At 44.6% G+C, this 25,083-nt stretch overlaps 1 protein-coding gene and 1 long non-coding RNA gene across 14 annotated transcripts in view, besides 1 other annotated feature; one reads left to right on the top strand and one right to left on the bottom strand.

Annotated features, from left to right (window-relative positions):
- Positions 184-233: an enhancer, noted in NCBI's record as "active region_895". NCBI's record gives its function as "activates an Ori minimal core promoter by ATAC-STARR-seq in GM12878 lymphoblastoid cells {active_cell/tissue: GM12878}" and the evidence as "EXISTENCE:reporter gene assay evidence [ECO:0000049][PMID:35858748]".
- Positions 653-23,884, bottom strand: PPIH (peptidylprolyl isomerase H). 12 transcript variants are annotated; one of them, XR_007063970.1, is made up of 12 exons: positions 23,795-23,884; positions 23,399-23,463; positions 23,056-23,079; positions 22,741-22,785; positions 21,403-21,445; positions 17,352-17,444; positions 16,240-16,327; positions 15,720-15,760; positions 14,867-14,956; positions 14,156-14,260; positions 6,980-7,019; positions 5,549-5,723 (listed from the first exon to the last, which is right to left on the bottom strand). XR_007063970.1 is itself a non-coding variant. In XM_047430866.1 (10 exons), the coding sequence occupies exons 1-9, from the start codon at positions 23,858-23,860 to the stop codon at positions 14,888-14,890; spliced, it is 534 nt and encodes a 177-aa protein (XP_047286822.1). In that variant the 5' UTR covers positions 23,861-23,884; the 3' UTR covers positions 653-3,581; positions 14,867-14,887. The 12 variants fall into 12 exon arrangements, 4 of the variants coding, with proteins under 4 accessions (XP_047286822.1, NP_001317439.1, XP_005270419.1 ...); XR_946525.1 differs by lacking the exons at positions 5,549-5,723; positions 6,980-7,019; positions 14,156-14,260 and adding exons at positions 653-1,113; positions 3,438-3,581; XR_001736914.1 differs by lacking the exon at positions 6,980-7,019.
- The window catches only part of LOC124904162 (uncharacterized), a 104,986-nt gene continuing 86,403 nt past the window's right edge, over positions 6,501-25,083 (top strand). The window contains exons 1-2 of one of the 2 annotated variants that reach the window (XR_007066033.1): positions 6,501-6,587; positions 22,681-24,543. This is a non-coding gene — a long non-coding RNA (uncharacterized LOC124904162). Of the gene's footprint in view, positions 6,588-22,680; positions 24,544-25,083 lie in introns of those variants that run through there. The other variant, XR_007066034.1, reaches the window with a different exon arrangement.

The raw sequence follows: 25,083 nt of genomic DNA, 5'->3' as shown, positions 1-25,083 counted from the left end.
ATATTTTATCAGTCCTCCATTCTCATTGGACCTTTGGCGGCTAATTCAGTCGACCTACAACCGTTCCTGCCTCCGCCGGCCGCCATAGAGACCGGAACTAGAATTAGAGTAGTCGGCCACGAAAACCATAGAGTACCCGAGAGGACGGGCAGAAGGAACGTGACTTCCACGAGGCAGCCGCCGGGCTGGCGGGCCCCACGTTCAGGGTTGTGTCTCGGCTGAAAAAAAGGCACGCCCGAACGCTGGGCAGGGATTACCCGGCCGGACCCGGGATTGGAAGGGGGCTCGAAGACGCCTTAGCCCCCCGTGAAGAAAAGGCTTCCCTCCCTCCCAGCTCCAAATACGGTCCCTGTGATCTGAGAACATTACGGCGGGCATAGAGTCGTCTTTTCTTTAATGGCCGTGTAGTCGCGGCACAGCCGAGGGTTTCTGGAATTGCCTTAAACGTATGCGTTTGAAGAGCGTACCCTTTTGTCGGAGCAGTCACCTTGGAGGGACCACGCAGGCTATGGCAGCCCGGGTTCAGCATGTTTAGGGCGAGGGTGTGCTCCATGGGGACCTGCCTTCTGATCCGTTTTACCAGGCATATATTTAAAAAAATGTGTCTTCCTTTCCAAGTATTCACATCTTTTTCTACTGACCACAAATCAGATTTAATTCAACTCACATTTATTGAACAAGCTAGCCTGTTTTGTTTTTTCACTTTATTCCTGCAACAGCCACGTGATAGAGGGATTACTATCCACGTTTCACAAACGATAAAATTGAGGCTGCCACCTGATGTTACTGAAGTCCTCCACCCACCTTCTTTCGTTCTTTTTTAAGCGTCTACTATCGGCTGGGGATGGAATAGTTCGCGAGTCAGTTTCTGCCTTCTGATGGAGGCAGAAATTTAAACAGCCAACACGGTAAATACTCCAGAGCTGCAAAACCACGAAGTATTTTGGGAGTGGAAGCAGGGAGAAGGTGGAGGGCTGACTTTCCGCGCACAGGGTACAGGCGAGAAGAGGTGAGATCTCGGGAAATGCAGTCAAGTAGTTCAGTAAGACTCGAATGTGACATTGGGTTGCAGAGGTGGGCAGTCACTTAGGTATATTTAATTGGAAATATATCCTGAGGGGAAGAGTGAGAAGAGCAATTTTAGAGTCATAAGTAGGGAGGGGCATCTTTTTAAAAATGGCTGCGGAGTGGAGAATGGGTTGCAGAGGGGCAAGGAATGGAAGTAGAGAAAGCAGTTAGGAGGCTAATGCAGTATTCCTTACCCCTACCAATGCCGTCTAGGCCTGTGAGTTCCACCTCCTAAAGGCGTTCTTGAGTCAGTCCTAAACCCTCTAAATGTCAATTCAGAGTCTTTTCATTCCTACTGTCACTACTGTAGGCCATCATCACCAATTGCTTAGAGCAAGGGGTAGGAACCTTTTTCTGTGAGAGCCAAATAGTTAATAATATAAGCTTGGCCGACCATATGGTTCTGACTTACTACTCAGGTTTGGAGCTTGAAAACAGCCTTAATTTTTACATGACACGAATCTTTACATATTTTCAACTATTTAAACATTTTAAAAACCATTTGTATTCTTAGCTCATGAGCCACAGAAAAACGGAGTGTAGTCGGCTGACCCCTAGCATAGAGCAGTGCTGTTGGCTACTAACCACACCTCTCTACCTCTTTCTTACTCTAATATTACCCACCACAACAGCCAGAAAGTTCTTTTGAGAACATCTATCTGATCATGACACTGTCTTACTTAAAATCTTCCAGTGACTACTATTACCCTTAGGGTAGTCCAGATTCCATAATGTGGTTTACTGGACTCTATGACTTCTAAGAGAAGTCTTAGAGTCTTCTCTTGTATTCCCTGTCCAACCTTCCAGGTGCTTGTAACTACTGGCTGCAGGATACTGCAGGAGCAGAGGTAGCAAACAGCTGAATTCTATGAAAATAGAAATTGGTTAAAAGTGTTGCTTCAGTGTATCAGATGACAAGGGAGATGGTGAAATATTACAAGGGCCCTACAGAATAGACACTTGCAACTCTCCAGCCAAGTAAACATGCTTCAGAGGACATCGTAGAGAAAGGACTGTCATCTAGTGGAGTCCTTTAGCCACTGTTACGTTTGGAGTATTACATAAAATTCTACATACAACACTCTTCCTTTCCTCCTTCCTCTTTGCCTGCTTAATTCTTCATCCTCTAGGTCTTGGCTCAGATGCTACTAGGTTAAGAATCCCTCCCATCTTAACACACTGTATTGCTCTAATTAAATGTTCCCCACCAGACTGTGACTTCCTTGGGCATCTTAGTGCCTGACACATAATACCTTAAAAGATTCGTTAAATGAGCGACATGGTGTAGAACATGAATTGAAAAAGGTACTGGCAGCAGAAGGGTCATCTGGGCAGCTGTGCCAGTAATCCAGGTGAAAAAGGCTTTCAGCAGCAATGTGTATGGAGAGTGGGTGGATTCCACAGCTGTTGTTCATGTGTTCCAGCTCCAGATGACTTGAATGTTAAAATGTTTCCCCAAAAGGCAGTCCTGCCAACACTGAGGACATTTAAAAGCATGCCCTATAGGCTTGAGAGCTTTTCTCCAGTTACAAAGACACTTAGAAAATATTGCAGCAGCACCTCTACGAATAAGTGAACAGCCTCACTATGTAACTGCTTTGAAGGGATGGCTTCTCAAGCAAAAATACAAATTGTGTAACATCTGTCTTTTCAATGTTACTTTAAAAAGTATCATTACTTACTCATCCAGTTACTTCATTCAGCTCTCTTCGTGCTCAGTGAGCCTGAGGATAAGCTGTTTAAGAAACTAGTTTGCAGCCAGGCACGGTGGCTCATGCCTCAGCACTTTGGGAGGCCGAGGCAGGCGGATCACTTGAAGTCAGGAGTTCGAGACCAGCCCGGCCAACGTGGCAAAACCCCATCTCTACTAAAAATACAAAAATGATCTGGGCATGGTGGCATGTGCCTGTAATCCCAGCTACTCGGGAGTTTGAGGAGGGAGAATCGCTTGAACCCGGGAGGCGGAGGTTACAGTGAGCTGAGATTGTGCCACTGCACTCCAGCCTGGGTGACAGACTGAAACTATGTCTCAAAAAATAATTTTCTTGTAGCCACCTCTCTACAAGCACCAATAGTTCATGACTGTTCCAAAGTGGGAGAGCACCACTGCAGAGCTTTACTAGTCTCCCTGCCATCCTGGGAGCTCACACCATCCAGCTGTCCGTGGTGAGCACAGTACAGACAACTCCAGTGCCTGCCTTTAAGTGATGTGATGGGCAAGGGATTCATCCCAAGAATCTTCTCTGCAAAATAACTTTTACCTTGTCCCCCCATCTCTAATAGACTGTGGCCTAAGAACACAGTTCCCTCTTCCTAGAAAGCCCTCGCCACCTTGTTGATCTGGCATATTAAAGCCTGTCAATACTTACCTCAAGTGTCACCTCTTCCAAGAAGCCTTTTTCCGTTTTTTTTCCCTCTTCCTCTCATACCACTATCATTCATGCAACAAATATTTATTTAGCATCTATTAGATTCCAGAAGCTCAGTTCTTCCAGGTGTTGGGGACACAGCAGCTAAAAACAAAACAAAGCAAAAAGATCGGCGAGGCGTGGTGGCTCACGCCTGTAATCCCAACACTTTGGGAGGCCGAGGTGGGCAGATCATGAGGTCAGGATATCGAGACCATCCTGGCTAACACAGTGAAACCCCGTCTCTACTAAAAATACAAAAAATTAGACGGGCACGGTGGCATGTGCCTGTAGTCCCAGCTACTCGAGAGGCTGAAGCAGGAGAATCGCTTGAACCTGGGAGGTGGAGGTTGTAGTGAGCCAAGATCGCGCCATTGCACTGCAGCCTGGGCGACAGAGTGAGATTCCGTCTCAAAACGAAAAACAAAAAACCCAAATATCCTGCCCTGCCCTCACACGGGCTCACATTCTAATACCACCATGCATTGAAACTGTCCCTGTCTCCTATCACAAGCATGAGCCACATCTTACCTAGCTCCAGGGCCTAGGACAGAGACTGGCATAGAATGTAGGTGCCAGATGTAACAGAGTGCAGCTGACCAGCCCATCTCAAGAATGTCAACTCCGGATCACAGCTGTTCATCCTCCCCATCTCTTTACAATCCCACCCTATATAGTTACTTAAAAATCTCTCCTCCACTAGATGACAGTCCTTTCTCTACAATGTCCTCTGAAGTATGTTTCCTTGGCTAGAGTTGCAAATGTCTGTACTGTAGGGCCCTTATCACCATCTCTTGTCATCTGATACACTGAAACAACACTTTTAACCAAGTTCTATTGTCATAGAATTCAGCTGTTTGCTACCTTTGCTCTTGCAGTATCTTGCTGCCAGTAGTTAAGAGGCATCCCCATCCACAAGACAGAAGAAAGCAAATAAGAATGAGAGCAAACAGAAAGTGCCTCATGAAAGAAACATCAGGGAACTTTCTTCTTTGCCTCTTCAAAATAGATGGGGTCTCACTCTGTCACTCAGGCTGGAGTGTAGTGGCACGATCATAACTCACTGCAACACCAAACTCCTAGGCTCAAGCATCCTCCTGCCTCAGCCTCCTGAGCAGTTAGGACTACAGGTATGTGCCACCATACTCAGCTAATTTTTTTGTTGCTGTTGTTTGTTTGTTGTGTACAGACAAGGTCTTGGTATGTTGCCCAGGCAGGTCTTGAACTTCTGCACGCTGAAGTGATTCTCCCACCTCAGGCTTCTGAGTAGCTGTGATTATAGGCAGGAGCTACAGCACCCAGCTAAGTGAGATCTTTATATGTTGAACTGTTTCCTTTCAAAACTAACATTTTCTTTTTTTGAGACAGTCTCACTCTGTCACCCAGGCTGGAGTGCAGTGGCGCGATCTCGGCTCACTGCAACCTCCACCTCCCAGGTTCAAGCGATTCTTGTGCCTCAGCCACCAGATGGGTGGCTGGGATTACAGGTACGTGCCCCAAGCCCAGCTAATTTATTTTTAGTAGGGATGGGGTTTCACCATCTTGGCCAGGCTGGTCTTGAACTCCTGGCCTCAAGTGATCTGTCCACCTTGGCCTCCCCAAGTGCTGGGATTACAGGTGTGAGCCACGGCACCCGGTCCCAAAACTAACATTTTCTAAGGTATTGTTGCTGTTTACTACAAATTACCTTCATATCCACTCTCTTATTTGACTCTTTCAAGGATGCTCTGAGGTAAGTAGATAGGTCAAGTTAGTGACCCTTTCCTCACGGGCTCAATCCAGAACTAACCAAATTGATCCTTCTGGGAACATCCTTGGAATAAGTAGAGCTGTAAAGTCCTGGGGCTGTGCCTTCTTTGTCCATCAGCTTTAACCTAAGAGAGTTAGGTTTGCTACAACTGCCTGCAAGTCAAGAGGCATTAACTATACACAGCAAAAGCTTGGCTCTGGTCCATGCTGGCCTCTGAGGAGTGCCAGTCCTCCTAGCTAAAGCTGAGGTGTGAGGAGACAGGGCTATTACAACTATTTAAAAACAACCCACAAACAAACAAAACCAAAAGAAAAAAAAAACATACGCATACAAAAAAACTTTATTTACAGTTGAAAACTTAAAGACAATCTTGGATTCTGAATCTCTGACACTTCCATGGTCTCTTGATCAAATGGGGCAGCAGCAGGCAGGGAAGCAAAGACGGGGGCCAGTCCAGATTATCTTACTCAAGAACACCACCAAGAAGAAGGGAAGGCCTACAATGGCAGAGACATGGAGGTCAGTGTGGGATGGGGAGGTAAGCACCTCAGAGGAACTGGAAGGGGACATCCCATATGAGACAATGCTCCCAGCTATTCTCTTTTTTTTTTTTGAGACAGAGTCCCATTCTGTTGCCCAGGCTGGAGTACAGTGGCGCGATCTCGGCTCACTGCCACCTCCGCCTCCCGGGTTCAAGCAATTCTCCTGCTTCAACCTCCTGAGTAGCTGGGAATACAGGCGCCTGCCACCACACCCAGCCAATTTTTGTATTTTTAGTAGAGATGGGGTCTCACCATATTGACCAGGCTGGTCTTGAACTCCCGACCTTGTGATCTCCCTGCCTCAGCCTCCCAAAGTGCTGGGATTACAGGGATGAGCCACCGTGCCCGGCCACTCCCAGCTATTCTCTACACTCCTAATCCTCTTTTCCCAAAAGGGTAGAACAGGTCAGATTCTCACCATAGGTCAGACCTTTAGGTCCCCAGAGCAAAGTTGGGCAGTAAATTACAAAAGAACCAGGAAGAAAGCAACTAACATTTATGGTCAAGCATACTATCTCATTTATTTGCCCTTCACAACTCCATGCATTATATATTATCTAATTATGCAAAGGAGTAGGGTCCCAAGGGGTTTCATGGCTTGACTGAAGTCACAGAATTAGACAGTGATGAGACTTCCTGGTCTACTTGGCTCCAAAGCCTTTGTCCTTTTTGTCAGACTCTGATGGCTCTCTGTGGAGGTCCAGAACAAAAAGCAATCCTTCTTCCTTGCAGGTTTCGGTCCCAGAGGTAAAGAGAAAGGGAAGTCCACACTCTGGGTTTATGGCCTTGAAGTCGAGCAAGCTATACTAAGAGAACAGAGTAAGTACACCCAGATACTATTGTCCCCCTCCTCTTGCCATTCCTCAAACATGCCACACCTTGCTCCAGTGGACAATGGGTACTGGCATCGTACTGCAGGCACAGACTGAAGTTTAACTGTGGGCCCTCAAGCAAAGTGTATGAAAATGTATAAATGTACTTTGTAAGCTGCATGGTGTGCCAGGACCTAAGCTCTGTCATACCAGGCACTATGTTAGTCAGCATGATCCTTGCTTCAACAAGTTCTCAGTCCAGAGAAAAACAGACTTACATATTTGTGATACAGTATATTAAATGCCACAGTGGAGAGATGAACCAAGTGCTGTGGGAGCACCCACTGTCTGGGCTTAGACCTGGAAGAGGAGGTGGAGGGATCAGCAATGGATTCACACCTGATGTTAGCCACAGCTGTGGGCAGGCTCCTGGGAAGTGCTGGGAGGATTTAGGATTAGTTAACACTACATATAAACAGTATGTATTTCTATTACAAGATACATGTTCAAGGTAGAAAATTCAAGCTTAAATAAGGCAACTGAAAAGTCTCTTTGCTATCTCTACTCTGCAGAAGTATTATCCACAGTCTGCTATATATCACTGCAGAGATTCCTGAAAGTCATTCAAAATAAACAGTAACATGCTTACATAAATTACTACATCTTGACTGTCACTTAACTTACCTTAGAAATCTTGCCAACACATCCAGATCTACCTCTTTATTTTGTTAAGGCTGTATAGTATTCCACTGAAGAGAATGGAACCTCTACGTGTGTAAGACTTGGCTGCAATGCAAGCAGCTTTGCCTTTGTACTGGACTGGAATGGACTGGAGCCAGACATTCTCTCCACTCCTGGCCTTTTCAGCTGGCAGAGCTTCTGAGTTTCAGGACAGGGAACATACAGTGTCACATGCCCAGCAGGCACATAAATATTTGCTGCCAAATCTCCAGTGTTCCCCAGACCCATATTTTCATGTAAAACCTCTTTTCTCTTGCCTGGACTACTACTGCAGTAGACTCCTCACTGGCCTCCAGCCCATCCTCCACAATGCTGCTAGAATCATCTTCTGAACATGAAAATTCATCTACAGTATTCTGCTGAAAATCCTTAAGTGGTTCATATTGGCCTGATTCTTTTTTGGAGGGTCAGTGCCCCTTTTGAGAATCTCAGGAGCACAGTGGACTCCTTCCCCAAAAGGGAAAAATTACTTCATGCCTGAAAGTCAGCCTCTGCCCTCAGAATAACATATGAACTGCTAAACTTGGCACTGGCTTTCACTACTGGCCCTGGCCTCTCTCCAACCTTCTCACCATTTGCTTTTCATATCTTCCTGCTTCAGTCATATTGAATTATTTGCAGCTTCCTCTACACTTCCTGCTGTTTCCTGCCTTTGTGACTTTGCATAGGCTGTTCCCTCTGCCTGGAATGCCCTGCCCAGTTTTAGCCACCTGACAAGTTATATTCTTTCTTGTACTAAACTGAAGCATCATCTCTTCTGTAGTCTACTCAACCACTCTGGGAAGATCCGGGCATTTATGCTTTCCTCACCTTGTTCTAAAACCTCCAATACAGGGCTTTATTGTACTGTAATTGTCAGTTCTCCCAAGAGACTGAGTTCCTTGAAGGATGGAACTGACTTTTCAAATCTGTAGCCTCATATGCAGCATGGGAACTATCTTAATTCATCAGCGCTTAGTTGTGGAATGAATAGAGGACCAGCCCAACTGCCACCAACACATATTTCCTAATCTTCCCCTACGGGAATGTCTCGCATCTATAGGTAATTCTAGAATGAAACACAGTGTTTCCTAAACCTTAGTCATTCAAATAGCATCTTCACAACTGTTACAATATCTATCATCCACAGGTACAATTTATTTTTTAAGCTAATCACTATTTGAACTTCAATATTGCCTCACTATAAGCTGTAATAACTGTAAAATGATGTATTGTGCTAATTCCGTATTTTTTCCTAAGATCCAAATATTAAAATAAAAGACAGTCATCCCACCACTAACTAAAGTAGTGTTTCCCACACTTCTCTATTAAGAAGCATGTGAGATACTTGTTACAAACATAACATCCTGGTCCCACCCCAAAGCCACTCAATCAAATACTCCAGGGAAGGGATCTAGGAATTCGTAGGTTTAACGAGTGCCCCAAAATGATTATTACCTGTTGGAGAATCTAGGCAACAATGAATTAAGGAAAGCTCTCTACCATTTGGTACTGGTACCAGGTTTGAGGATCACAGGGAAGAGGGTAAGCATATCAGACTAGCAGAGCTGCCAGAACTCGGGCTTTCAAAAGAGAGGTGCCACCCTCTCCCATGTCCATGTAAGTAGCAAACAACCCATTCAGACTACAGCAGGAGAATCCTGAGTGTAGAGGTTCATTTATGCTATACATAACCAAATTCATCATAAAAAGTTTTCCAAGGGCTGGGCACGGTGGTTCATGCCTGTAATTCCAGCACTTTGGGAGGCTGAGGTGGGAAGATCGCTTGAAGCCAGGAGTTTGAGACCGGCCTGGACAACATGGTGAAACCCCATCTCTAAAAAGTTAGCTGGGTGTGGTGCTGCACGCCTATAATCCCACCTACTAAGGAGGCTGAGGTGGGAGGAACACTTGAGCCAGGGAGGTCGAGGCTGCAGTGAGCTGTGACTGCGCCACTGCACTCCAGCCTGGGTGACAGAGTAAGACCCTGTCTAAAAAAAAAAACTCTCCCAGAACTCACTGAGATAAAACCAAGGTTTCTATAACTAAAGTTGTACAGACCAGGCATGGTGGCTCACGCCTGTAATCCCAGTACTTTGGGAAGTCAAGGCGGGCAGATCACATGAGATCAGGAGTTTGAGACGAGCCTGGCTAACTTGGTGAAACCCTGTCTCTACTAAAAATACAAAAAAATTAGCCAGACGTGGTGGAGCATGCCTGTGATCCCTGCTATTCGGGAGGCTGAGGCATGAGAATCGCTTGAACCTGGGAGGCGGAGGTTGCAGTGAGCTGAGATCGTGCCACTGCACTCCAGCCTGGGCAACGGAGTGAGATTCTGTCTTAAAAAAAAAAAAAATTGTACACAAAACTTCATTTTCACTAAAACCAAAGTCAGAACCTAGGAAGGCAAAACACAAAGGTTCTGGAAAGAAGTGCTCCATAGGGAGGTAGAATTGATCAAGTGACCCGTCTTCTATCTCCTTCTTAGCTGTTTCACTGCATATGTCCAGTGCCTGGGCACAAGGCCTCAAATGCAGGATTAGGTGATACCTTGATGTGAATGCAATGGATTCCTGCTGGACTAGTGCCACCAAGAGAGTACTTCCTCTTGGTCTTTTTTTTTTTGGAATATGGCAAGTTCTCAATTAAAAGATAGACTCTTATCCCCTATTGACTTGCCTCACAGTCTGCATCAGCATCACCTGAGAGCTGATTAGAAATGCAAAATCTCAGTCCCCATCCAAACCCACTGAGTCAGAACCACTATTTTATAACAAATCTCCTGGAGATCCGTATGAACGTTAAAGTATAAGAAATACTGCCCGGCCAGGCATGGTGGCTTATGCCTGTAATCCCAGCACTTTGGGAGTCCGAGGCGGATGGATCATGAGGTCAGGAGTTTGAGACCAGCCTGGCCAAGATGGTGAAACCCTGTCTCTACTAAAAAATACAAAAATTAGCTGGGTGCGGTGGTGGGCACCTGTAATCCCAGCTACTCGGGAGGCTGAGGCAGGAGAATTGCTTGAACCTGGGAGGCAGAGTCTGCAGTGAGCCGAGATCGCGCCACTGCACTCTAGCCTGGGCGACAGAGCAAGACTCCGTCTCGAAAAAAAAAAAAAAAGAAAGAAAGAAATACTGCCCAATAGGGCTTAAAAATACCACTTCCCTTCCCTCCACACCCCTGCTCCATGGGAAATTCATCTCCTCTTTCATTAATTTTTCTTAAATCACATTATTCAGAAACCCAAAATGGGGTGCCCATCTGTAGAACCCCTTTACATTAGACTGCCACCCAGATTTCCTAACACCTTAAAACCTATGAGGGATTTTTGGTAAAGTGAAATGCGATAATTCAAGTAAAGTTCTTAGCTCATTATCCGGGCACAGGAAGAATTCATTGAAGGATAACTGCTTTAATTATAGTGCCCTTAAGTATTAGCTACGAGATTCAGTTCTAAGCAAGCCAGGGCGAGTAGATTGAGAAGCTTACATTTAAAAGAGTTCACTGTCCAGTACAGTAGCCACTAGCTACAACTGGCTCTTTACATTTATTATTTTTTTATTTACTTATTTATTTTTGAGACAGGGTCTCGCTCTGTCGCCCAGGCTAGAGTGCAATGGCACAATCTTGGCTCACTGAAACCTCTGCCTCTCGGGTTCAAGAGATTCTCGTGCCTTTGTCTCTGGAGTAGCTGGGATTACAGGCGTGTGTCATCACGCCCGGCTAATTTTTGTAATTTTAGTAGAGATGGGTTTTACCATGTCGGCAAGGCTGGTCTCAAACTCCTGGCCTCAAGCGATCCACCTGCTTCGGCCTCCCAAAGTGCTGGGATTACAGGTGTGAGCCACCACATCCAGCCTAATTTAAATTTAATAAACTACAGCTTAGTTCTGTCAATAAAAAAAAAATAGGCTGGGAATGTTTGCTCACGCCTATAATCCCAGCACTTTGGGAGGCCAAGATGAGCAGATTACCTGAGCTTAGGAGTTCAAGACCAGCATGGCTAACACGATGAAACCCCGTCTCTACTAAAAATACAAAAAATAGCCAGGCATGGCAGCGTGCGCCTGTAATCCCAGCTACTCAGGAGGCTGAGGCAGGAGAATTGCTTGAACCCGGGAGGTAGAGGTTGCAGTGAGCCAAGACGGCGCCACTGTGCTCCAGCCTGGGCGACAGAGCGAGACTCCATCTCAAAAAAATAAAAAATAAATAAAAAATAAAAAGTTAACAGTTTAGTCCCTCAGTTGCACCAGCCACATTTTAAGTGTTCCGTTGTCACATGGGGCTGGTAGCAACCATACTGGACCTCCCAGATCTAGAATCTTTCCATCATCACAGCCTATGGACAGTCCTGGTCTAGCGGGCCTGTGGAATGTACAATGGCCACCTGAGGAATGCGTTCTGCTTGGGTTGCAGGCTGAGAAGAAGGGCTTTCTTGGAAGCAAAAGTTCATATAACTTTTGCTAACAGTGGGGGAGAGCGGGGAGGGTTGATGATCCCCACCCTCAGAAATAAAACCTCAACAAGGACTTCCAGTAACTTTATGTAAAAGACTCAAAAAGATACAGAAAAGAGGCCCCAACATTAAGAATTTCTAAACTTTATTCTTTTTGTTATCGTTTGTCCTCTGGTAGTGATCAGTGGTCAGTCTTTGAAAAGAAAGGACCTATGAACTCAACTTTAGTTACAGCAAAGAAATGAGTAGGAGACGGAGGGAATGGCCAGCAGCCATTGAAGAGGGAGAGCAGGCTGGGCCCAAGGGGGACCCAGTATTGGCAGAAAGGAAAGCTCAGGGTGTCAAGTGGGCCTGAGAAGGGATCATCTGGCTGAACAAGAGAGGTCCACATGTAGCTCTCAGCACACACTTGTGCATTCCAGCCTCAGCATTTGCTCACACGAGTTCCCCGCCTAAAATGCCTGACATTCTCCCTCTCTACTTAACTCATGTAATAAATTTTTACTGAATGCCTGTAAGTGCCAGCTTTCTGAACAGAGTTGGTCACAGATAAAGGTGTGTTGTAGAGTCATTAAAATGGTCAGGTATTTGACTGGATCTCCATTTGGAAAAAAAGACAAGAAAAAGTCCTATCTTAACACTATACAGAAAAATTAATTATAGATGATTTTATAAATGTACAAATAAGACTTTAAAAATACTAGAAAAATGATCTTAGCTCCACCATATAAAAAGAAATACTAGAAAAAACACAGAAAACATTGTGATCTGAGGTAGTAAAGACCTTAAATGAGACAAAACTGAAAAGCAGTGAAAGACTGATAATTTGGACTTCATCAAAATTTAGAACTTCTCTTTAACAAAGAATATCACCAAACTTAAGCAACACAATACTAATTTTTTTCTTAAAATATATTCTGAAGAAAACAATTACAACATATAAAATTAAGAACTAATGCTCAGTTGGGGGCAGTGGCTCACGCCTGTAATCCTAGCACTTTAGGAGGCCAAGGTGGGCAGACCACTTGAGGTGGGGACCAGCCTGGCCAACATGATGAAACCCCATCTCTACCAAGAAATATAAAAATTAGCTGGGCGTGGTGGCATGCACCTGTAGTCCTAGCTACTTATAGCTATTGTATAAGGTAATCTTATACAATATTTTTAATACGTTTGTGCATGAAACAGATTTTTGACTATGATCCATCACATGAAGTCAGGTGTGGAATTTTCCACTTCTAATGTCATGTTAGTGCTCAAAAAGCTTCATATTTTGGAGCATTTGGGATTTCGGATTAGGGATGCTCAGCCTGCACTGCAGTTTCGGTTTTTCTTTTCCTTTTTTTTTTTTTTTTGATGTCATCCAGGCTGGAGTACAGTGGTGTGATTATAGCTCACTGCAGCCTCAAACTCCTGGGCTCAAGTAATCCTCCCACCTCAGCCTCCTGAGTAGCTGGGACTACAGGCATGCACCACCACACCTGGCTAATTTTTTTTTTTTTTGGAAAGACGGGATCTCACCAGGTTGCCCAGGCTGGTCTCGAACTCCTGAGCTCAAGCTATCTGCCCTCCTTGGCCTCCCAAAGTGCTGGGATTACAGGAGTGAGCCACCTCCTGCCGGGCTGTTTTCATTTTTTAATACAAGGTGGTTTTACATGAACTAAGAAGGAAAAGTTTTCAAGACATATTTTTTAGAACATGAAAAATATAGTATGATTTCATTTGGGAAAAAGAAAACCTCCCAAAATTAGATGGGCAAGGCAAAGGCCCTGATGGACATACATCAAACTAATAAGGAAGTGACCTTTGGAAAGGGGAGTGGAATTGCAGGTGGGTATTGTCAAGAGGGGCTTTCACTTTATCTGTTTGGTGTGAAAGTTTTCACAATGAGAGTGTATTATGTTACTTGTGTAAACCAAATGAAATGAAATATGGGAACCTTGATTGGATCACCTTTTTTTAAGCTACAAAAGTTACTTTTGGGACAATTGGGGAGGTTTGAAAATGTACTATATATTAGATAATATTGTGGTTACGTAGGATGTTCTTATTTTTAGGAGTTCCTTGCTGAAATACTTAGGGGTAAAGTGTCAAGAAGTCTGCAACTTTCAAATGGGAAAGAGAAGAAGAAAGGGTAAAGGAAGGAAGATGGGAAGAAAGGAAGGAAAGGATGGAGGGAGGGAAGAGGAGCAGGAGGGAGGAGGAGAGGCAATGGAAATGGGTGAGGAGGCAAGAAGGGAAAGAAAAAAACAAATGTCAAGGCAAAGCAATAAAACAAGAATGTTAATCATTGGTGAATCTAAGTGAAGATATATTGGTGTTCAAGGTATTATCTTCTAACTTTTTTGCAGGTTTGAAAATAAAAAAAAAAGAAAAACAAAACATCACTACCCCTCACCTGGCTGGAAGTGATGGATTTCTCCCTTGTACTCTTCTCATACTTGGCAATGTCACTCATATTACTAGTGATCACCTCTGGGAATGTCTTACTTTCCATGAGCTCCTGAAAGGAGACATCTTTCAATTCTTTGTCCCCCTCTCTGCAGCTAGCATGCTGCCCAGCGCAGAGCAGGCAGTGGTAATTACGGGTAAGAAATGAGTCCATGTAGGCTGGAAGATGCAAGGCATTCACCTATGAGGCCAGCGAATATGAAGTCGAGGCCTGGAATTGCAGTATCAGTTCTGATGAGAGGCATGACAGGTGTGTCTCCTGGCTGCCTGGCCTGGTCCCAGCAGAGAGTTACTCAGGCCTGGAGCCAGGTCTTTCTAGGGGGACTACTGAATGGAACTGTAGTCTGAGAGTGCTGTTACAAACTGCCTGAGTAGTTTTCACATTGATACTTTGTACATTACAAAGTGATAGAAAAGTAAAGTGCTCCTACAACCCTTTCTCTTTTTATTTTTACAGTGACTCTGAGAGATAGGTATTACAGTATTTCCATTTGACAGATGAGGAAATGTGCTCAGAGAAGGAAAGTGACTACTCCAAGGCCATACACGGAGGAACTGGGCTCAATCTCATGTCTTCAAGACTAAAGTTCTTTCCACTAGACCATGCTGCCTTCTCTGAGGTCTGATTCCTAACCTAATAGGAGAAAGACACACTTACCTGATTCAGTCTTTGTCTGGACTACATCTCCCCACACTGCGAGATCACCACAGGTAGCTTGGGCTTATTGTTGGGGCCTGTGGGAACATTCTAGGAAAAAAAGCACAATGGAGATTCATCCACTCAGGCACTTCCTCGTTCCCTTATCAAACTTTTACTGATGCCTGCCAGCCCTGTGCTAAGGACTCAGCACTCAGAAACAGTCCATGTCCTGGCAGACAGGTAAAGCATATAATACCTATCAAAGAGAAAATGCAAAACACTTAGAAAATATCAAACTTATGATTATATAAGAAAAAGTTATAAGAGAGAATTGGATAAGGGTTAGATAGGCAACTAAATTGGGGCTTAAAGAGGTCAGGGAAGGATTCACAAAAGAGGGGTATTTGAACTGTGCCTAGAAGGATGAATGGGATTCCATCAGGAGGGAAGGAAAGAAGAGCATTCCGGCTAGAGGAAACTGTGTGAGCAAAGGCTCAGGGGCAGGAAAGAGCAAGCAGCAGGGACATGCATGGCAGATTTAGAGAAGAGCTAGTAGCCTGATGTGACTGGAACATGGAAGAGGCAATGGCAGAAGAAGGGGCCATGGAGAGGTAGACAGGGACTAATCATGAAGGACCTTGAACGCAATGCTGAGGAGTAGAATTTTATCAAGTAGGCAACAGGATCATCAGAGGCCAAACCTCAGTGTTGGCCAGACAGGCTAACTTAGGTGGTTCTCTTCCCTTTTCCTGGGGCAATGAAGACAGCCTAACAAACTGGAGCTCATTCCCCCTTCTCTAGCTCCTGCACGCTAGTCAGACAGTACCAGACCACAATGGCAGAGAAACAGAAAAATCAAAGCAGTACTTACCTCAATCTTTCTCATCACTAGAAGTCCATCGATGATTTTTCCTGTAGGAAGAGCATGAGCTGGACTTTATTCTTGTTTACATAGCATTTTCCAGCTTCCAAAGCCCATTCTTAGCTATTTTCTCATTAAACCCTCATACTAACTTTAGGAAATTAAGATGCGGTAGAGGTGAAATGACTTGCTCAAGGTCATAGGTAATAAGTAGAGTTAGGGCTCAAACTTATACCTGAGTGACTCCAAAGTCTCACCGTATCATGCTGCCTCTATGGCATTTCTTTGGTGCTAGCAACTGGGTTTTCTCCCTAAGTGGTTCCATACTATATCAAATGGTCCTTTTGTCCTTCCCTCTAGTTCTCTAGCCACACATGTTCCCCACCTCCCCACCATTTCTGTTTTCTCTATTACCACCTAAGCAGTTACACAGGTTGAGCTTTCTTGGTAAGAGTTTGAGAACTAACTCCTCTGGAGGTTCCATCCAGGGTGAATGGGGCCTGGACCATGAGACAGGAGTAGGACTTACCAAACACCACATGCTTCCCATCCAGCCAATCGCACTTAGAGCAGGTGATAAAGAACTGACAGCCATTTGTACTTGGACCACTGTTCGCCTGATGGAAACCAAATATACCTGCAGTAAGTTTCCCCGGCCATGTTAGCTGAAGGGCAAGATTTCCAAAAGAGCTTGTAACACTGATTCCTCTATGGTTTTTTTCAGTAAATCTAACTTAGCACCTATTATGAGCCAGGGCCTAAGCTAGGATCCAAGGATACAGAGATGAACAGGATATGGCTCACTGCAGCCTCAAACTCCTGGGCTCAAGCAATCCTCCCCACCTCAGCCTCCCTAGTAGATGGGACTACAGGTGTGTGTCACCACACCTGGCTAATTTTTTTTTTCTTTTTTAAGTAGAGACTAAGTCTCACTATGTTGCCCAGATTGTTCAAACTCCTGACCTCAACCTCAAGCAATCCTCTTGCTTCGGCCTCCCCAAAGTGCTGGGATTACAGGTGTGAGCCACCACACCCAGCTATGAATATGTCTTGAAAGCACAACTGTTTACATTCTGAGCAGTAGGGCTGAATGCCCAGACACAAATCCTGGTTCAGATTTTAGTTCCCCAGCCTGCTAGCCTGCTAGTGGGCCTTACCTACTGGTTTTCTTTTCTTTCTTTTCTTTGTTTTAAGATGGAGTTTCGCTCTTGTTGCCCAGGCTGGAGTGCAGTGGGGCAATCTCAGCTCACTGCAACTTCCCCGTCCTGGGTTCAAGCGATTCTCCTGCCTCAGCCTCCCGAGTAGATGGGATTACAGGCACCCACCACCACACCTGGCTAATTTTTTGTATTTTTAGTAGAGATGGGGTTTCACCATGTTGGCCAGGCTGGTCTCGAACTGCTGACCTCAGGTTATCCACCTGCCTCAGCCTCCCAAAGTGCTGGGATTACAGGCGTGAGCCAGCATACCTACTGGTTTTCTCAGTCAAACCAGACTAAGAAAGGAGGTGGTAAAGGTGAGTCCTGGGCCAAGCAAGAGAAGGAAAGCATTTGCTTCCATCCCAAGAGACAGCACTGGGCCTCAAGAGGGGCCCAGGAACCAGCTGGCTATAACCCAAAACCTTGATTGGACCTCACTTACCATGGAAAGCAGGCCTGGAGCTGAGTGTCTAAGTTTAAAATTTTCATCTGCAAATGGCCCCCGGTAAATACTGGCGACTCCAGTACCATCTCCCTGAGCAGAGAGAAGGGAAGTATTAGTGACTTGGAGTGTTGGGTCCCTGGAAACCGGAGGAAGAACACTGTCGCACCTAAAGCATGACATCTTTAAAGTCTACTCTTACTCTTGTTGGTCATCTTGGAAGCTGCACCTATTTGACCCCACCCTGCAATCAGATCAAGCCTTATATAAGGTACCTACAGCCCACAAAGACTGGCTGGAGCATTTTATAGACTGGATAAAAGAGGTCACAGCTGGGCCTCTAGAACGATCAATTAAGATGCAGACAAAGTAGGGAACAGCAACAAGGTGATCACATACTCAATCCTTGCCATTCCTGAAGACTCTCATGCCTTCAGTCACATAAAAGTACCCACTTAAGTGACTACCACCCCATTCCCCTAAACTATCTAAGAGGGTGGGTGAGCTCTTGGCAGTCTGTATGTACAACATGATACCACCCTCCTGGTCATAGTTGATTGATCTAGGGAAGGATGCCTAACTCACTCTGGGCCAACTAGAGTTCCTTCTCTGGGAATCTGGAGGTGGGATAGATGCTCTCTTTGAGGCTAAATTTGTAACATGTAAACCTGAAAGCTGGATGTGACTACCATTTGCAAGCTGGGCTAGAGAACAGAGAGAGAACACAACACAGATGTGTAGCGAGCACTAGAGAAACGGAGATAAAGAACTGCCTTGGTTCTCTATGGTTCTAGTTCCTAGTTCTATTTCTTCCTTTAGTTCCATGAAACACTCCCTTTATTATAAACTCCCAATTTCTGCTTAAACTAGCTTTATTTGCATTATCTCCTTGCTCTTCCAGCAACCTTGAGGAATAAGCATTATCATCTTCCCCATTTTTCATGTGAGGAAACTGAAGTCTGGGTAATAAAACAATTTGACCAAGGCCATATTTGCAGTGCCTTAAATAGAATCCCTGAGTTTTAAAGGCAATATTGAGGAGTGCCAAAAAGATCAAGCTCTCCTCGCCAGTTAGTAAAGAGAAAGAGTACATGGGAGAAAGGGAAAACACTGACCCAGTGAGGAATCAAGGGTCCCTTTTTGGAAAAGAACTACCATTAATATAAGCCAGAGAATAAAGAAAAACTGTCCAAATTCAAACCTTTGTTTGCCTAAATATTATAAAATAAAATCAAGTCTGTATATTAGAAAGACCTGGCCTGGTGTGGTGGCTCACACCTGTAATCCCATCACTTTGGGAGGCTGAGGCGGGTGGATCACCTGAAGTCAGGAGTTTGAGACCAGCCTGGCCAACATGGTGAGACCCCATCTCTACTAAAAATACAAAAATTAGCCACGTGTGGTGGTGGTACCTGTAATCCCAGCTACTCGGGAGGCTGAGGCACGAGAATCGCTTGAACCCACCCGGGAGGTGGAGGTTGCAGTAAGCCAAGATCGCACCACTGCACCCCAGCCTGGGCGACAGAGCGAGACTCCATCTAAAAAAAAAAAAGATCTGAATTTGAGTTCCAGATCTATCACTTAGAGCTGGGAAAGTCACTTCCAATCTGTGAGCCTCAATTTCCTCATCTATCAAGTGAGGATGAAATTACCTACTCTTTACAGTTATCATGAAGATTCAATTAGATAGTGTCTGTAAAAAGCACTGTACAAACAATATAGTACTATATAAATAATCAAATAAGCTAATATGTCATTAACTAACTACACATACATATTAATACAGAAGGAAGAGAGAAAACAAGTTCATCTCCAATTTCCCAGTGAACCTAAGGGACACATCAGTTACCGTGCCATTCTCCGTAATCACGTTATCTATAGCTCTCCAGAAACAATAGGGAAAATTACAAAATTAATAATTTGGAGCAAACAATAGAAAGCAACTTATCTTCAACTATAGTGAATTGATCAAATAACTTGTCTATTCATAATGAAATATTAGGTGGCTATTAGAAAGCATGTTTTAGAAGACATAACGACAAGGGAAAATATGGACAATTATGAAGTACAAAAAAAGTAAAACATATAGATTATTTTAAGTCTGTTAAAAATTATATAAACACACATATACATACTAAGGTAAGACTGACAACTGTAAACCAAAATGCCAATAGTATATTGTGAGGTGAGAATGAGGGTAATTCATTTGGTGATTTATTTTCTTCTTTGCACTTTTCTTTTGCAACCAAAATAATAAATACTATTAAAACCAAAAATAAATGAACAAACAAATATTCTTGGTCAAACTTTGGAAGGTCTCAAATTCTGATTTTTCTGACTCTTGCTCATTCCATTTTGCCTTCCCCAAGGAAGGTTCTAAGCAAGCTTTTTTTTTTTCCCTTTAGACAAGGTCTTGCTCTGTCGCCCAGGCTGGAGTGCAGTGGTATGAACATGGCTCACTGCAGCCTTGAATTGACCTCCTGGGCTCAAGGGATCCTCCTACCTCAGCCTACCAAGTACCTGGGACTACAGGCGCACACCACCAAAAATAAAAAAATAAAAAATAACTTTTCTTATTTTTGTAGAGACAGGGTCTTACTATGTTGCCAAGCTGTTCTCAAACTCCTGGGATCAAGCAATCCTCCCAGCATCCCAAGGTACTGGGATTACAGATGTGAGCCCTACCAGCAATTGCTTTTAACTCGGCCTTCAGACTGAGCAACTATTGTCTAACCCCAGAGTTATCGACAAGTGATCAGATGTGCCTGGGGCAAAGACTAGTAAAAAGCTATTCCTCTCCTTGTAAGGCAACAGGGAAGCCTAGGGGAAAAAAAAGGAAAGAAGGCAGAGGATAGCTTCTCAGCCCTTCTTACCAGCTAACAAACCCTACTACCATTATCTGTTTCCCGGGGCTGCAAACAAATGCCCACAGGAGCAGGCAACGTAAATAAGGGAAACAGTTGTGGAGACTGGTGAAATGGCAAAGATATGCCATGTCCAAAGGGACCAGTTCCTTGATTCCAACCAATTGTCACTGTCACTGCCACTGTGAGAAATGCAGGCCCAGCATACTTCCACTTTCCATTTTTTAAAGAGAAAAAAAAACTAGGATTTTTTTGTGCCATTTCACAGTTATACAACACCATGCAGATGAATCAAAACATAGGTAAAAACGTAATTCGGCCTAAAACCTGCCACTCTGCAACCCTGTATTGCATAGGAAAGGAAAGAGGTCTTAAAAACTCATGAGATTCAGACTAAATAAACACATAAAAGAGAACACATGTCTCCCAGATCCAAGAAAACAGCAACACAACTAACCAAATGATATTAATAAGAGTAAAGAAAGACCATTCAGAAGTGGGGGGTAAGGACAAAAGCAGGTTTAAGAAAGAAAAAATGTAGTTTATCCCACACCCTCCAAGGTTGGGGTGGGGAGGGAGGCTTCATATGGGGGACAAAAACAGTCTACTTACAAGAAAGCTATGGTTAGCAAAAAAGAACTATTTCACTGGGCTCTCTCAGTGAATAGAGCAAAATTCCTCCAGAACTATCTACCTCTCTTGCTCTGATTCCTTGCCCACAAATCAACTTCTTATGAAAAACTCAGCTTTCCAGGCACTGTGACACCCAGAAGTAAAAGAGAAAATGAAACAAGCATTTAGCCCACTAGAAGGAGACTTACCTCCATTCAGAAAAAAACAAAAACCACAGCTGATTTCTGACTAAGTTTCATATGACTAATTAGTGTGAACCTATCATAGATCATCTATAGGTATTCTTAAAAAGTCCAATTTCTGGCTCAAAAAGGCTGAGATTTGGACCATGGAATTTAATGCCTCAATCAAAGTGCTAAAGTCGGTTATCTACAGTCAGTCGTACCCAGCCACTTTCAAGAACTTCCCCATCACCATTCTCTCCAACACCCACATCAAACCTGGCTATTGTTCTCAAGCCTGAAGACTGGGTCTCTGTAGTAAAAACAGCAATTGCAACAATAACAACAAAAACTAAAACTACGGGTCTTTGATAGGAAAGGAATAGTACTTACATTAACAAAATCTCCACCCTGAATCATGAAATCCTTTATGACCCTGAAACAGAGAGCAAAGAATACTGAGAAGATTTTATGGTTTAGAAAAACATAGATGTTGTTATTATTGTATTAGATTAACGTTGATTTCAAAATACACTATCACTTTGGCTATTATAAAATCATTACTCTTAGCTGGGTGCGGTAGCTCACGCCTGTAATCCCAGCAGTTTGGGAGGCCGAGGCAGGCAGATCACATGAGGCCAGGAGTTTGAGACCAGCCTGGCCAACATGGCAAAACCCCGTCTCTACTAAAAATACAAAAATTAGCCGAGCGTGGTGGCACATGCCTGTAGTCCTGGCTACTCGGGAGGCTGAGGCAGAAGAATTGCTTGAACCCAGGAGGCGGAGGTTGCAGTGAGCCAAGATCATGCCACTGCACTTTAGCCTGGGCGACAGAGTGGGACTCTGTCTCAAAAAAACAAAACAAAACAAAAAAAACCTGAAGATTATTCTTTTCCTGAATGATTAAGCTGAAAGGATAATTAACCATAAAAAAGGATTTTCGTTATAAATTAGGGCATGTTAGAGTTGATCAAGTGCATGATCTGGTACCTGAACAGTAATAAGAAGAAGGGGCTGAAAGCTTACTTGCCAAAGCAAAAGGCAGAGCAAGGGTTTGATGTAAATTTGGGGGAAAGAACTACAGAGAATTTATGTGAAATGTACTGCTAAACATGTAAGGGCTTAACAACTGTTAGCTATTACCCCTAGGGAGGGTCCTTAACCTTTCTTATCCTCAGTTTCCTCCTCTGTAGAATGCAGATCACCCATACCACTTCACAGGAGTCTTACTGGGGATTAGAGACCCAAAGCTCTAAAGCTGTGATATAATTATGTGCTAACATTGTTACTAACCACAGTGAGGCCATGAGAAAGATTCTATATTGAAATGAGACTAAGTGTTGACATACTCCACTCCCCAGGAAATATGATTATCCTTGGACAATCATATATGATCATTTTAGGAATTAGTTATAAATATCAACCAGCAGGATATATTATATGCACTTTAGGATTACAAGTGTACTTTTTAAAAAATCTGCATTCGCACAAACAAGTGCATGAAAAAGACAAGATATTGTAAAGATGAGTAGTTTCTGTTTTAAAGACCTAAGAAGTGGGGGAGTGTAAGTAGAGTTAGAACATTTAATAAATCTTCAGTTGTTGAGTCCACAAAAACATTTCTTCTCAAGAAATGTAAGAATTACCCTCTGGTTTTATTTTCCTCTAAAGAGCCTAATCCCCCAGGAAATATTTCTGAAAGACTCCAGGATGGCTTGCCAAGAGCCTTACCTGTGGAAGGTGCTTCCTTTGTATCCTATTGGAACCCCATCTTTCCTATAACCGAAAAGAAAGAGACTTGGAGTGACAGCAGGTAGCACAAGGCCTTTCCAGTTTACCATGCACTGGAGCCAAAAGGACTCTCCTAAAGATGGTTGACAGACATAAAGAAGGCAAATAAACTAGGGACAGACCCTTGGGGCATTACCTTCTATCACTGTCACCAGCAATCATTCAAGGCCAGCAGGTGGTTCACCGATACCCTCACTGCAGCCCCAGAACACCCCTCTGGAGCAGGCAAAGAAGTCAAACACATCTGAAACTGACCTGAATTCTCCGGTGCAGAACTGCCTGAAAGGGACAAAAAATGAATGATTCAATCACTATGATGTCACAGTCGTGAGCGCCTCTAAATACGGGAAAGAATAAACACTGGAGCCAGCAAGTCCACCAATCGGCCAGCCAGACGTCCAGACACGCAGTCACACAGACTAACAACGTAAATTAACACGGGAACAATCCAAACGGCAACCAGACAGAGCAATGCATGGAGGAATCAGGTCTCAAGAGCAGTGAGCGGACGGACAGAGGTAGACAGGCTATTTCAGGCGGCTGACTGGAGCCCGACTTCTGCCTCAGCTAATCCAGCGGAGCTGGAGCACGTCCTTACCTAAAGTTCTCGGCCGTCTTAGGCACAACGTCTGCAAAGAGCTCGATCTTCATGCGGCCAACTTCCTGCAATCAGCGGGAGAGTGTCAGAAGGCCCAGTCCAAGACCATGAGGGCTTCACGGAGCAGGGGGCATGATGGGCTGACCCACCACCCTGCCGCTCGGTATCTCCCACCTCCGCCTCCCTAGTCTAACCGCCCAGTTCCTCCAGAAGCGGGGCGCTAGGATTGGGGAGACTCCTCCTCCTCCTTTCCCCCCGCCCGGCAGGTCGGTAGGTTCGGGTGCAATTTCACTTTCTGGCTGGCTTCCCGAGTCCGCTCTCTCTGGGTGAGTTCTGCCTGCCTAGCCCCGAGCAGTTTCCCTTCGGCGCAGGTGTGGGCAGCCTCCTGGATCTCACCTGACCGCCAATACTGACATCAAAGAACACCACGGGGTTAACAGGACTTGAATTTGCCACCGCCATGGCTCCGACCCGGAAGCAGAAGTCGGGAGCGTGGGATTCCGGCGAACCTAAAGCCCGGTCCGCGGATTTCGTCCGGGGAGCAGGCGCGGTAGACGTGGAGCGAGACCAGGCTCCGCCCCCGGAAGCTGTCGCCCCGTGCGGTGTGTGCTGAGACTGCTAGGGTCTAGCTGAGAGACTCTGCCTGGCACTGGGGACGCGGGAGTGAGGAGGAGGAAAGCCTTGACATCTTTTTGGTTAAGGTCAATGGTCACCCCACTCACGTGGCTGTACTAAGGGCAGTACAAGTTGATCTTGCTCTAGCTAGGACTTTTGGACTAGGCAGTCGCCAGGGTCCTCCTTATCGGCTCTTGCAGCCAAGCCCTCTGCACCGCCACACGTGCTGTCTGTCTTCTGCCCGCTAGTGTGAACACCGTGAAGGCAGGAACTCTGGTTTGTTCATCCTCAGCGTTTAGAACAGCTTGGCACGTACAGGCTTGCTAAGTAAATATCCCTTCCTCTAAGTCAGGACAATAGATAATGTTTGTTCTGCCACAAAAGCTACCAGTTTTGTCATTTCCAATTCATTTCCCATAAAGCAACTAGAGTTTTTTATTTTTTATTTTTAAAATAACTCTTGTGCTTCCTATTTATTTTAAAAATAACTCCTGGCTTCCCATATTTAGAATAAAATCCAATTCCGTGCATACGAAGCCCTACAGTGCATTTATCTGGCTATCACGTACCTGACCTCATCTTGTACCACTTGCCCTTAGTTACTGTGCTCTGACCTGTCTGTTCCTCCAGGTCACTGAGATCCCTCCTCTCTTTAGGGCTTTGTAATAGCTGTTACTTCTGTCTGAAATATTCCTTCCAGAACTTAATGTGGGTTGGCGGGGGATTGTGGGGGTTGGTTGGGGTATGCGTGTGGGAAGTAATGCTCCTTGTAGTTCAGGGCTCACCCCAGATGTTACCTCCTGAGAGGCAACATTAGACCTAATCTAAAGTAGCCCTTGGTCATTCAGATCACTGGTTTGTTTTCTTCATGCCACCCCCACTTCCACATTATCTTCGTATGGTATGTGTCTACACCTCATTTCCTGCCACACACACATAATCTTCCTCCCTGATAGCATATAAACTCCATGAAAGTAGAGACTCTCCTGGTCCTATTCGCAGCTGTAGCTGCAATGTCGCCTACTGAATAGCATATAGTAGGTATTCAATAAATAATAGATGCAATGAAT

This window comes from Homo sapiens, chromosome 1 (assembly GCF_000001405.40).
Source record: "Homo sapiens chromosome 1, GRCh38.p14 Primary Assembly".
Taxonomy (NCBI): Eukaryota; Metazoa; Chordata; class Mammalia; order Primates; family Hominidae; genus Homo; species Homo sapiens.
This window is presented reverse-complemented; position numbering and strand designations above follow the sequence as displayed.

Coding starts and splice junctions, on each gene's coding strand:
- PPIH (XM_047430866.1), bottom strand. CDS start 23,860: ATGGCGGTGGCAAATTCAAGTCCTGTTAACCCCGTGGTGTTCTTTGAT. Junction 23,464..23,794: donor ATGTCAGTATTGGCGGTCAG/GTGAGATCCAGG, acceptor CGCTGATTGCAG/GAAGTTGGCCGCATGAAGAT. Junction 21,446..22,740: donor AAAGGAAGCACCTTCCACAG/GTAAGGCTCTTG, acceptor TCTCTGTTTCAG/GGTCATAAAGGATTTCATGA.